This window comes from Homo sapiens, chromosome 10, assembly GCF_000001405.40.
Source record: "Homo sapiens chromosome 10, GRCh38.p14 Primary Assembly".
Lineage (NCBI taxonomy): Eukaryota > Metazoa > Chordata > Mammalia > Primates > Hominidae > Homo > Homo sapiens.
Genome location: NC_000010.11, coordinates 78,953,393 through 78,966,327, shown reverse-complemented (window position 1 = coordinate 78,966,327; position 12,935 = coordinate 78,953,393). Strand labels below are relative to the sequence as shown.

The window sequence follows — 12,935 nt, the reverse complement described above, 5'->3', positions numbered from 1 at the left end:
TATATGGGGTCCTTTGTGATACAGCCCAGTGGTGGTACCGCGGTCTAGGGTGGACAGACAACTGACAGCAAGTTCTGCTGAATTCTTGGGGGAGACAGTGTCTGGAGCAGTGGTCTCTGCAAGGCCACAGCTTACCTGGCCCTCTCAAATCAGTCACTAGTGTCTAGGGGGTCCCTGAGTGTCAAGAATAACCAGCCTTGGAAATCCTTTGCCCTGGGCCCTGTTCTACTCAGGGAAGGGCCTGCATGGCCTGAGGGCTGGACACACTCGAGAGGGGACACACCTGCTTGTCTGCTCACATGTTCACACATGTACACATGTGTGTACACATGTACATATATACTCTGGATTGACCCCCTCACTTGCATGGACCTGAGTGTCTCATGTCTTTTTCTATGTAGGACACATGGAAAAATGATTCCCAAGCAATTTCCAGGAAGAATATTCTATCTAGTTCCCTCTCACCTCCCACTACCTCCATTTTATAAACTGGGAAACTGAGGCCAGAGAGGGTAAGTGGTTTGCCCAGGGTCCCACAGCAGGAGCAGCAAGTGTGACACCAGGGTGTCCTAACCTGTGTCTGGGACGTCCCAGCCAGGTGACTTCTATCTTGCCAGGGAGTGTGTTACAGCGAGCTCTCCTCAGCTCAGCAACCCCGTTTTACAGATGGGCAAAACCGACCTGGCCATGATCTCATCCAAAGGGCACCCATGTCTCGATCACGCAGAGTCGAGACTCAGGCTCTGAGTGGGAGCCCTGGGCTATGGGTTTTGCCCCACATTGCTGGGAAGTTCCAGGGGTGTAGCTGCTGCCAGGAGAGCTCATTCAGATTGTAACTTACAAATGAAAAGGGAATTTAATAAACAGGGTTCCATGCAGGAGCCCGGGGCCAGCCTTTCCCTGCAGCCACCCACCTGCGGCTGCCTGCCCCAAGGGCCCTCCCCACCAGCTTGGGGCCCCTGTGGCCGGCCAGCAGCCCTGCCTGGGCCTCCTCCCCGCCCTGCCCCCAGTGCTGCTGACACAGGCTCCTTCCTGGCCTCTCACCTCCACAGCCCTCTCCCGCCCTCCCGCTGGCCGGCTGCAGTAACAAGATGCCCTTTGTGTGTGCTGGCAGGGGAGGGGGCTGCGGGCAGGCTCCTGCGTGGCTTCTTGCTGCTGAGTCACAGCTCCCTGCCAGGCTCTGGGAACAGAGTCGCAGGTGACTGGCCAGACGGCACAGAGCCCAAGATCTTGGAGATGACCTCAGACAACCCCTTCCTTGCACGGGAGGGGACGTCGAGTCTCAGAGAGGGGAAGGGGCTGCTGCATGCTTTTCTGGGGGCAAACATCAAGATTGGGCACCTCTTCCTGCAGGTTAAGGGCTCTCAGGCTGGTCCTGTTGTCATAGTAGAGTCCTACTTCTCTCCAGAACAGCCTGAGTGTGTCTGTGTGTCCACATGCATGTGCACACATGCTCACTCATGTCTGTGTTCACGTGTGAGCATCAGGGGTTCAACCGTGTGAGTGTGTCCTTGCGTGAGGCTGTGTGTAAGTGTGTTTGCCCTTCTAGGTCTCCCATGCCTTCTCCCAGAGACACACACGCCTGTTCTCAATGGCATATCTCCTTCCATCTGCTTCTTAGTGCTTACCTGAGCTTCTCCTTGCCCACTGCAGGAGGCACCAGCCCAGGCAAGTGAGTGCCTGTGATGGGCAGCTCATTACCTGACAAGTCACCCCCAGAAACCCAAGGTAGGGTGTCTCTCTGCCCCACTGCACTGTGCTGTGTGGGACTCACCAGCGGGGGCCCAGCCAGAAATGTGTGGTGCTTAGGAAGGTGGGCTCTGGAGACAGGCTGCCTGGGTTTGAATCCTGGCCCTGCCATTTCCTAGCTGTGTGACTTGGGCAAGTTTACTTTTCTTCTCAGAGCCTCTATTTTCTCATCTGTAAAGTGGGGATGATAATAATAGCCTTGCCTCAGGGATTGAGGTTGTACCTCTAAAGATCTTAAAATAGTGTGCAGGTCCTTAAGGAACATTAGCTATTATTATTACTGTTATAGTTGTTCTTGACCCCCAGGGAGCTCTTTGGAGATGCAAGGGGCTGAAGGGGTTGAAGTCTCTGGCAGCATGAGAGGCTCAATTCCCTTGGTCACTGACCAGCAGGCAGTGAAGGGGCGGGGGGCACTCTCCCAGGAAGGAGTCATCTGTTCTGGGCTGTGTCCCCCCCGAGTGGAGCCACCTTCAACAGTATTCCCCAGGAGAGGTCTGCACCATTGGAAGTGACCCCTGGCTCTGTGCATGCTGCCTTCCTAGGTCGCTCAGCTAGAGCAATGGCCAGGCCCTGGGAGGCAGGGCAGGGTGGCCAGACGGCCGGAGCTCCTGCTCCTCCCTCTCCGATGGGCCTTGGCGGGCGGCAGGCTTCCTGTTGCTGCTGCTATGATGCCCCACCTAATGCCGGGGATGGCCATCTGGGCCCAGGGGCTCGAAGAGGGGGCCTGCCGACCATCTGCCTGCTTGGCGTGGGCTGCTTCCGAAGGGCAGCAGGGCGCCTGCCCACAGTAGCTGGGGCAGGAGGAGGCCTCGGGGCTGGTTCTCTGGCCTGGGCAGCCTGTCAGGCTGCAAGCTGCTGCAAGGAGCCCAATCCCCAGAGCTTCCTGCCCTAATTTTCCCTGCATGTATGCACAGGAAGGCTGGCTGCGGTCCCTGCCGTGTGAGCTCAGGGAAGCCTCGCCCTCCCCAGCTGCAGTCTTTCCATCTGTACAGTGGGCAGGCTGGATCCAGTGCTCAGATTTCCATCCAGTCGGCGCTGCCTCTGGGCCTTGGGGCTGACTGGGGGTCCACTTTTTGGGGTGTGGGAGGGTTTCCCAAATGTGTCCTATCCTCCCAGCTCTGACCCTGGGGGCCAGCTCTCCAGCCAACCGTGGAATTACATGAGTCCCTAAATAACCAGCTGCAGGTTAGGTCCAGAGCAGGCGTTCTTGCTCAGCGACAGCCCAGCCCTGGTTCCTTGCATGGTGGTTGCAGGGTGACCAGACACTGCAGAACACCTCTCCAGAGAGGCGGAGACTGGCGAGGATGGAGGAGGCAGCTTCTCACTCACTCAGCAGTTTTCTGAGCATTGTCACTGTCTGACGCTGTGCCTGGTCCCGGGGACATGATGGTGACCCGCCCTTTACAGTGTGATACATTCTAGGGTGGGTGACCTAGCAGGGAGCCCAGCCTGGCCCAGGGGGCCTGAATTACCTCTGAGATGTGACGCCTGAGACCTGAAGGAGAAGTTGGAGTGAGCCGGGGTGTTTACTCTACATAATCGCCTACGAGATAGGTAGCTGCTATCCCTACTTGACGGATGAGGAAAAAGATTCTCAGATAAAACAATATAGAAGCGGCTTTCCTATGGTCACCCAGTAGGTAGCAGAGCTGGGATCTGAACCCTTCCTTGTCTGACTTCAAATTCCATCAGGCCCTGACATTCTCCAGCTTTCATGGTGTTCCTGCAATCCAAGTGCCGCTTATCTCTCTACAGGTGAGGTTAGGGGTTGGGAGGATGTCCTGAGCAGGGAGCACCAACTTCTCTGGCTGCAGGAGGGGAGGGAGGGGGTGGCCGGCTGCCCTGGGTGCCCTTTCTTTCCCTTCCATCCAGGGCTGGAAGAAAGCCATACTTCTGACTCCAGGAAGTGCTTTGGTGGAGCTGGACCGGCTTCTGAGCTGTCTGTGGCGTGAGGCTGGGATAAGTGTTTGGTCACCTGGGATGGGGAGCCACTGGCCTGAGGTGACACAGACAAAGGGGAGCCAGGAGAACCTGTCCTGGCTCACTGTGGAGCACCCCGACCCTGCTCCCCTGCAGCAGGCTCAGCTATAAGGCATTGCCAGCCTAGCCCCGCGGTTTCTTTTGCTGGGATAAATTCAGTGGAAGGAGCTGTGTAAAGGCACAGGCCCTGCCCCACAGAGAATCCTTGTCACTTACATGCTCCAAGAGGTCTCAGAACTAGGGGACTTCCTCCCCTCCCTCCTCCTTGTCTGGAGCTGGCATTAGGCCCCACATCTTCCAGACCCAAGAAGGGCATTTACTCCAGGAGATGGCTGGGCAGACCCTCAGTAGGTATTCCACGAAAGTGTTCATGGCTTAAACCCAACACTTGATTTCTCCCTGAGCCAGTCTCTGTGAATGTCCTCACCATCGTCCTGTGTCACTCCTGGCCTCCTGCTAACAACCAAATCTATTGACTCTCCAGATCCCCAATGTCTCCATGTCACACTACTTCCATTGCCACCATTCCTGTCTGTATCCTTGTCTTAGGTCCACCAGATGACCGGCTGGCCTCCTAATTGGGCTTCCTGCATTCCTGCCTGTGCTCGGAGCTCCCTTCTCCACTTGCCTGCTGGAGGAGGTTTACAAACAAAATCAGATCATGGCACTCCCCTGGGGCCCTGCATCCTGTGGCCAGCAGGTAGGGCTTCTGCGACCTGGCCCTGGCCACCTTTGGCCTCCCGTCCTCCCATTCCTTCCAGGCCCCACTGTGCCTTGGTGTCCCTGCCCTCCTTTCTCCTCCCCAACTTCACCCACCAGTTCCCATCTCCCTTCCTTTGCAGGGTGTTTCTGCTGCTGGAATTCTTTGCCCCTGGGTCTCCGTGTGGTTAGCTCCCTTTCACCACGCTCAGTCAAGGTCTAATATTGTCCCCCCACCACCTCCTGCATTCACTCTCCGTCCCATTACCCTGTTTTACTTTCTTCAGAGCACTACGTTGTTTTGTTGTCCTCTCCACTACCCTAAATAGAATGTAAGCTCCAAGATGCGAGGGCATTTCCTGTCCCATACATTCTGCATCCCAGAGCCTGGGCTGGAGCTGAGAAGGTGCTCAAGGAATGTTTGTCGCATGAGCCAATTTCATAGTGCTCCAGGCTCCCAGGTGGAAAGGTCCTTGGTCTTTTCTTTACCAGGTCTTGGAAACGCCCCTGTACCCCAGAAACTTCCTGATCAGTCCCTGGTCAGTGTATATCATGCTTCCTGTGACATGACATCAACTTTTCAGTGACTTCCACTGGTTTTGGCCCAGCTCGAAGAGCCTGACACCTCTGCAGGGAATTCTACCAGGTATTCAAAGAGTGAGTCTTAATGCAAAAAGAATGAGAGACGCAGGGTCACGAGTCGCAGGTTCAAGTTCTGACTATTCCTCTTCTCCATGGTCAGCTGTAAGTCGTCGAGGTCTCTGGCCCTCAGCTTCCCCTCTGGAAATGCTGGGAACCATACCCCTCAGGGCTTCAATAGGGTGGGAGGAAATGCTGGCCAGTGTGGGCAGCCGGGGGTCTGGTACAGGCCTGTGCTTAACAAGTGCTGTTTGAGTTTGGGGAAAAAGTCTCCACGATTCTTCATTATCCCATAACATTGAGGCCCTCGTGCCCTGCCCAGGTATAGCTGCTCCCTCTGCCTGGGGGCATCTTCCAAATTGGAAAAACAGAGAGGAAAAGAGCAGTCCTGCTCAGGTGGGGCTGGGATGTGGAAGGGAGGTGGGGTGCGGGTGGTGTGCTGTGCTCACCCGCAGTGATTTGTAGCGTTTTGTCTTTTGGAAAACACTGCGGTGCAAGGTTGCCCAAGGTCAGTGCCTCTGTTCTGCGATCTCTTTATGAAAAGGGAGAAGAGAAAGTAGTCACTGCTTCCAGTTTTTTTAAGGAGTTGGCCAAGAGCCAGCACCAGGCATCAGAGGAAGGCAGCTGACTGCACTCGGCCACATCCCAAAAGTGCCTGGAAGGGGAGGGAGGAAGCAGGCGCTTCAGAAGGCACTACTGTGTGTCAGGACTCATGCTAGGAACGCTGTAACAGGGAGCAGTGATGGAGTCCTTGAGGTATGCCAGACATTGTTCTAACCACTTTATGTAGACTGACTCATTTCATCAATTTCATTCTCTCTGCCTCTATGAATAAGTGTTATTGTTCCCATTTTATAGATGGGTTAGCTGAGGCACAGGAAAGCAAAATAACATATCCAGGGGCCCACAGCCAGCACGGATGTTATTTAATCCCAGTCCCACAACTACCTGGAGATGAGGATCATTATTACCACCATTTTATCCATGACAGCTCCAAGGCTTGGAGGGGTTAAAGCAACTCGTCCAAGGTCACGCAGCAAAAGGGCACCACAGAGCTGGGATTTGAATTCCAGTCTGAGTGACTGCAAAGCAGTGCATCATCCTGTGCTATGTAACTTGGCTGGTCTCCTTGCCTTTTCTCATTCCCCTGAAATGGATGGGATGGGGGCTGGACACATGGCTGCTGGCAGTCTTCAAAGATTGCAAGGGATGGTGGGAGCTAAGCCAGCCCCCAGAGCTGCTGTGGGCCCCCCTGATTTCCCCACTAATGGTGCCTTGGGCTTTATGTGGACGTTGGTGTTTCCAACACAGACCTAGAGGAAGAATCTTAAATCCCTGGTAAACCTCCCTATTGAGCCACCTTCTTTGTTATCGGAGGGATGTCAGGAAAGATTCAGATAAAGAGGTAATGTCTGGGCCTCACCACCCCAGAACAGACCCTCACACACCACAGGATGAAGTCGGAGGGGAAGAGGTTGCTGGGTTGGAGCCAGAGCCTACGGAGGACCAGGCGCGAATTGGCCCAGCATGCTGGCCTATATCCAGCCTGCAGCCCCTATTCCCTGTCTTCCTCACGCACCCTCCTTCTCTGCTCTCCCCACCACCATCAGAGCCTTCTCCCAGGAAAGGCTGGGAAGTTAGGGTCCTGGTCTCTTTGTGATGATCTCCAAGGGCCTACTGTGGCTGTGTCAGTGTAGGAAGAGCCCAACTTTGAGGGTCCAGGGATTGGGCTCTCTTCCCCAACAGTTGCAGCTCCATCTCTGATTGTCTTAGGAGACATGGCAACATCCTAGGTTTCACTTTCCTCATCTGTACAGTGGGTGTAATAATGTGGCCCCTGAGCTGACAGATGAGGACCAGATGGGGCGAGGGATAAGAACGCACTCTGAACGAGGTCAAATCTTGGCTGGCTGCCCACAGTCACTAACTTGTCCTATAGCCCAGTGGCCGAAAAGTTTGCATCATATTGGAATCATCTGGGGACCCTAAAACATGCTGATGCCTAGCTCCTCTCCCCAGGTGTTCTGATTTAATTGATTTGGGGGAACAATCAGACATTGGGAGTCCTAGGAGCTCCCAGGTGATTCTAATGTGTGGGCAACAAGGGAACCATAAGAAGCCCCTTCTATTCAGTGATTCCACTGGCTTATTAGGCAGCAAGGGAGCTCGTAGGTCACCATCAGGTCCAGATTTTTCTCTTGGATGCCTATTCTGCTCTCTGGATTTGTCCTAATGTGTCCTGCTGAGAGTTTAGAATCCTAAACACCCGCTTTTTATGGAATGTGCCTCTGGCAGATGTCTGGGGAGCGGAAGCGCCCCATGATTTTTGCTGACTTCCTTCTCTGTGTAGAGGCTGTGCTGGAGATGGGGCGGGGGGCAGGTAGTGAGAGACTCAGACCTGATCCTTGCCCTTTGCACACTCATGCAGGGGTCCTTGCCTTCTGAGTTCTCTCCTTAGAGGTCAAGGGGAGGAAAGAGGAAAGGAGCAAAGCATGGCTGGGCCCATGCTTCCTGCTCAGAGCTTTCCTGTGGATAGGATGTGAAAGCAGGTGAGAAAGGCCTGTCATCCCCACTCACAAATGAGGAATCCAAGCCTCTGACAGGTTCAAAGACTCACCCAAGGTCTCACAGATCATGAGTAACAAAATGGGAGTGAACCCTGCTCTCTCTGCTCTCCAAGCACCTGCTGTGGCGGGGGGCAGACAGGTGGCAGATGGCAGGAGGTGTGATTCCAGAGAGGCAGGCAGGGCTGGGGGCTGGGGTCACTGTTTGGGGAACAGACTGATTCCAGAGTCCCCTTTGTTCTCTCTCTGCTTCTTCCCTCCCCTTGGGTTCCCCAAAGCACGGGACAGCTCTGGGTGTTTGGGGGAATGAAGGGTTATGAACAGGTGTTTCATCTCCTGGGTTTCAGTATCTGACTGCAAAACGGCCTCTGACCTCACTTTCTTTGCTTATGGAGTATTCAGGTGGGTGTCAGTGATCTGTGGAGTATTCAGTGATCTGTAAGAGAGGAAACAGCATCCTCAAGATCAGCCTCAGACTCAGTGGCTGCATCTGAAGGGGCCTAGGAGGCCAGGGCCATGTCAGGACCCAGGACCACCATGTGATGAAGGTGGCCAGGTGGAAGGCTCTCATCATTGTGGAGGGCTTTGATGCCAAGTGATGGCAATCTAGCTTCAGTGGGGTAGTCAGGAATGGTGTTCTGGGTTCTGCTGCTTGAGTAGGGGATAGAGTCTCTATCTCACCCAGTCTCACTTTTCCTCATCTGTAGAATAGGAGGTACTGTAAGTAATTGTCAAGGCAAGTGCAGGGTGGAGCCTTATAGTAAGGTTACACCATCTTCCCATCCATCCATCTACCCATCCATCCACCCACCCACTCATCCTCCCTTCATCCATCCATCCATCCATCCATCCATCCATCCATCCACCCTCCCATCCATCCATCCACCCACCCATTCATTCTCCCATCTTTCCGTCCATCCATCTGTCCACTCATACTTCCTTTTATGCACACATTGATTCTTATGAACTCCTTTGGTGAACCAGCTCTGAACAGATACTTGCATTGAGATGAGTCAGAATTTTTCCTGCTTCCACGGACTCTCAGACCCAGCAGGGAGTCCAGTCCTATGAATAAAGAGGCCACTGGGGCAGGTTTCAGAGAGGACACACTATGTGAGCTGGTTAGAGGTGAGAGTGAGAGTTTGCCAGGTGGGTGAGCAGGGGAAGCATCTCAGGCACAGGGCCTAGCAAAGGCCTAATGTGCTGTGGGGTACTTAGGGCCTTCTGGCTTTGTGGTGGGGCTGGAATTTGGCAGTAGCTACAGCTAAAACTGTGGCTGGGGGTTTCTGAGCCGGGGTCGAACATGCTAAGAGACCCTATTTTAGGGAGTGGAGTCTGGTTGACTCAGAGAGGACAAGGAGAGGCAGTGGGCATAAGATGGCAGCCCGAGGCAGGGGACAGGGCTGCTGGGGAGGCTGATATGCTGGTCCGTCCCATTATCCCCAAGAGAATGTGCTTCCCCTCTCTGTCCAGCTTCTATCTCTCTCTTTTTTGTGGTTCAGGAGGCCTGTTCTTTGCCCAGATACGGAGCAGGCAAGAGTGCCCAGCCTGGCCCTGTCATTCCCCGTTCAGCCCCAGTGGAAGAAGTGATGCTGTCATTTGCATTTCAAAACCTGTATCTCCCTGCATCTTCCCTTAATAAGAGCCAATTACACCTCTGCCCTAAACCGCAGGTTGTCTGCCTGTCATTGGACTTTTATCCTGTTTGGGGTGGGGAAGAACTGCTCCCTTAAATGTCACATTTAGCATATGCAAATGAAGAGATAATTGTCCTTAATGGAAAATGAACTCACCTGCTTGCTGTGAGCTCCAGACAAAGCAGGCACTGATGAAACGGGCACCAGGATGGGCCTGGGATCTGTGCTTCCAGCCCTGCCTTAGCCAGGGGCCCAGCTGGCCTGGTCTATCTCCACCCATTGAGAAGATGACAGTCCAGAGATCTGTGCCAGTTGGAAGGTAACACATTTAGAGGTTGTTCCTCCGTTTGACAGATGTGGACACTGAGGCCTGGAGGATGGGAGCGATTGGCCCAAGGTCACAAGCTGAGTCAAACTTCTTAGGGAGCTGAGAGTGGAAGTCTGTAGCAGCCCATGCTGGGGAAGTGAGGGCGCTCGAGAGTGGATGATTTTCCAGTTAGGCAGATGGGAATCACGAGCCAGCCCTGGGATCTAGCACTTGCTGGGAGCATATATCTTTAGTAGATAATGATTTCCAATCTGGGCATTGTGCTTGGTTATCTGGAAGCTGAGGGAAGAGGGCTGGAGAGGACAGGTGCTTTGGAGACCACCTCAGCACTTCCCCATGGAGCATAATCCTCCCTACCCCTGGTTATGTTTCCCTCGAAACCAAGATTGCAAGTGGAATGCATTCAGAGGGAGTGAGTCCTCTGTTACTGGCAGTGTGCAAGCGACATGGGAGGGCCCCCTGAGTGCGCAGTGGTCCAAAGAGTGTAGATTCCTGGAAGGAGAGAAGATCTCTTTGAGAATGAGCCTCTTCTCACCGGCTAGCCCTTGTGCCCTGAGCTGATGACAGGATGAGGAATTTCAGGAGCCCCAGGCCTGGCTGGGACATGGAGATTTGGACCTGCTCTGAGATTCGAAGCCTCTGCCTTGTTCTCTAATTCCAGAGGCAGGAGTTTGGACAGTTCCTCATGCCTGAGTCCCCTCCTAGTTCCTGCCTGGCCTTGGGGTCCTGCCCCTGCCCCCTGGGGAAGTGGTGGCACTGTGGAGTTTGAAAACCTGGATTCGAGTCCTAGCATGTCCACTTGAACATGACTTCTATCCTCTGGGAGCCTTGGCTCCTTCACCAGGAGAGCGGATATCTGTGATATCTGCCTCCTCGCAGTTTTGTGGGGATGCCGCCAGGGCTCAGCAGATGCCTGGTACTTGGGAGAGACTTGGTGGAGATTTGCTTTAAGAAGCACTGGTCTGTCCCCTTCCCTTTGCCCATGGAGGGGCCTGACGCCTGCTGCAGTCCCCCAGGTGCTCTGTGCTCTGCCCACCTCCTGCTCAGCTGCCTCCTGTTGCCTCTTGCTGGGTCTCCCAGATGGGCAGCTCAGCCCAGCCCCTCACTGCTGGCTGACCCAGGAAATGCCATGACCTTGGAGAGGAGGCACTGGAAACCTTTGGCTCTTTTTCCCCAGGTGTTCTGATGGGTCTCAGAGAGGATAAGGAACTTACCTAAGGTCACACCATGAGGTCAGGGGTCAGCTGGCATGTCTCCAGCTTTGAAGGCCTAAATGCTTCTGATGTCACAGTGGGGTGCATTCCTGTGGGATACAGAGGGCTCAGCTGCTCCAAGATGAGGCCATATCCTTTGGCACCGGGTGGCATTGGCCATAGGCAGGGTGAGGATCAGGAGGTAGGCCTTGGTCTGTGCAGGGTGGTTGGAAACCCAGCTCCCGGCAGATGTCAGCCCTCCCTCCCACCATTGCTCTTGGCCCTCTCCTCTCTGCCATGGCTTCTCCAAGAGCCCCGGCCCCTGGGGCTGCATAGACCCACTCACATGAGAGATAGGCACCCCAGGCCTCAATCCGACCTTACCCAAGGTCCTCCAGCTTGTTAACCACTTGGTCTTGGATGACCTCTCTGGTCACCAGGGTCCTGGTGAGTGAAATAGGGACAGTGATGCATACTGCGTGTGGTTTTGGGGAAATTAGATAAAGCACCTATGAAGCGTCCAGTTCCTGAATTCTGGTGGGTGTCCTCATATATCAGACAGACTCCACTTCAAACCTCAGCTCTACCAGAATCCATTTGTGTTAACTGGGGCAATTACTAAGCTCTCTGGAACCCAGTTTTCACCACATGAAGTGGGGCATCTTTCCTCTCTAAAGCCTGGAATTTTCCCTCGGGAAGTTCACAAGATTGCCCCCGGAGAGAATCCAGCAGCAGCAGGCTCCTTCACAGGCATCTTAGGCCCTTCTCTCTTGCTCGGCCCAGCCCTCCCTTCCAGCTCACCTTCTTGTTCCTCTTGTCCTCCTCCACACGGGCCGCTCCACACCATGCATCCTTCCCAGACCCCTCTTCGCTAGACCCCTGACTAGCTTCTCCTAAGGCCATCCCCCAACCCACCCACTTGACAGACACTTATATTTCCTTCAAGCTCATCCTAAATGCCGTCTGCTCTGCCGAGGGGGTCAGGGAAAGCATGGCGGAGATGGTGGTTTTCCCTGCCCCACCACAGGACGTAATCATCTAACAGCCCCTCGGACACAACTCAGCTGAGGGTGTCGTGTGTTGTGATGTGTTTTCCTCCTAGAGCATGAGGTTTGGGCTCTGCTCCTCACTGCCTGCTCCCAGGGCCTGGCACAGTGCTCAGGGAGTGTCCGTGGGAGGGTTTGAAGCTGCTCTGGCCGCCGTTGTGTGTCTGCAGTTTTCAGGGCTGAGCCTCACTCAGTCTACCAGGGGCTGCAAGGTGTTGCCTCCCTGGGCGTGGTCGACATTAGGGCTGGTCAAATATTCCAATTGGCTCTCTCTTCTTCTGGGCACATGGTGGGATCACCATTCCCTGCCCCTTCTGAGGGGTGTGGCATGTGATTTGTTCTGGCCAATGAAAGGACAGCAGAATCAAAGAGGGTTACTGCTGAGTGGAGGCTCTAGGGGCAGAGTATTACTTGCCATGTTTCTTCCCCTGCCTTGAGGATTATGGAAGCACGCAGTGGGACGGAGCCTCTGGCAGCCCACATGCCGCAGAGACCCTGCCAGCCTAGATCTGACCTGTACCGTGAATGAGAAATTGACATTTGCTTTGTTAAGCCGCTGAGATTTGAGGGCTGGCTGTTCCTGCAGCAAAACCTAGTCCATCCTGACTGACCCAAGAGACCATGCAGGTGACAAGTATAAGAAGGAGTGGGTTTCAGGTAAGGCATGAATAGGAATGAGGGTGGGGATGGGTGTGTCTTGCTAAAGACTGCACATCCTACCCAAAGACATTCAAATGCATCACTTTTAAAAACACCACACTAGCTCAATAACACCCATCTGCCAGTGACTCAGATTGGGCCAAAGACCACAGCTGACTCTCTCTTCTGTGGGTCTAGGGATGGAGGGCAAGGGCGTGGGCATCAGTGTGAATCCTCCCCACAGTGTGAAGACTTACTCTAGGTGGTGCATACAGGTAGTGCCCGAGCTCTTCTCCCAGTTTGCAGGTGTGATGGCAGAGGGACACATCAGCTCTTCTCTCCGGATGCCCAGGCCCACAGCCAGGGCTGGCTGACTCTCAAGGACTCCCCCAGGCCCTGGAAGGCAAGCCACTGGCTGATGATAAATTCTGTGTTGGGTCAGAGTGGGAGCCCTGACCTCC

At 54.3% G+C, this 12,935-nt stretch overlaps 1 long non-coding RNA gene across 3 annotated transcripts in view, besides 2 other annotated features; it reads left to right on the top strand.

Annotated features, from left to right (window-relative positions):
• The window catches only part of ZMIZ1-AS1 (ZMIZ1 antisense RNA 1), a 124,123-nt gene that overhangs the window by 101,121 nt on the left and 10,067 nt on the right, over positions 1–12,935 (top strand). For 2 of the 3 annotated variants that reach the window (NR_015429.1, NR_024431.2), the window contains 3 exons: positions 3,442–3,504; positions 4,279–4,429; positions 4,921–5,074. This is a non-coding gene — a long non-coding RNA (ZMIZ1 antisense RNA 1). The remainder of the gene's footprint in view (positions 1–3,441; positions 3,505–4,278; positions 4,430–4,920; positions 5,075–12,935) is intronic. The other variant, NR_024429.1, reaches the window with a different exon arrangement.
• Positions 1,039–1,599: an enhancer, noted in NCBI's record as "H3K27ac-H3K4me1 hESC enhancer chr10:80724486-80725046 (GRCh37/hg19 assembly coordinates)". NCBI's record gives its function as "activates a minimal SCP1, AML or CMV promoter by ChIP-STARR-seq in naive H9 embryonic stem cells {active_cell/tissue: H9 hESC(naive)}" and the evidence as "EXISTENCE:reporter gene assay evidence [ECO:0000049][PMID:30033119]".
• Positions 10,094–10,809: an enhancer, noted in NCBI's record as "H3K4me1 hESC enhancer chr10:80715276-80715991 (GRCh37/hg19 assembly coordinates)". NCBI's record gives its function as "activates a minimal SCP1, AML or CMV promoter by ChIP-STARR-seq in naive H9 embryonic stem cells {active_cell/tissue: H9 hESC(naive)}" and the evidence as "EXISTENCE:reporter gene assay evidence [ECO:0000049][PMID:30033119]".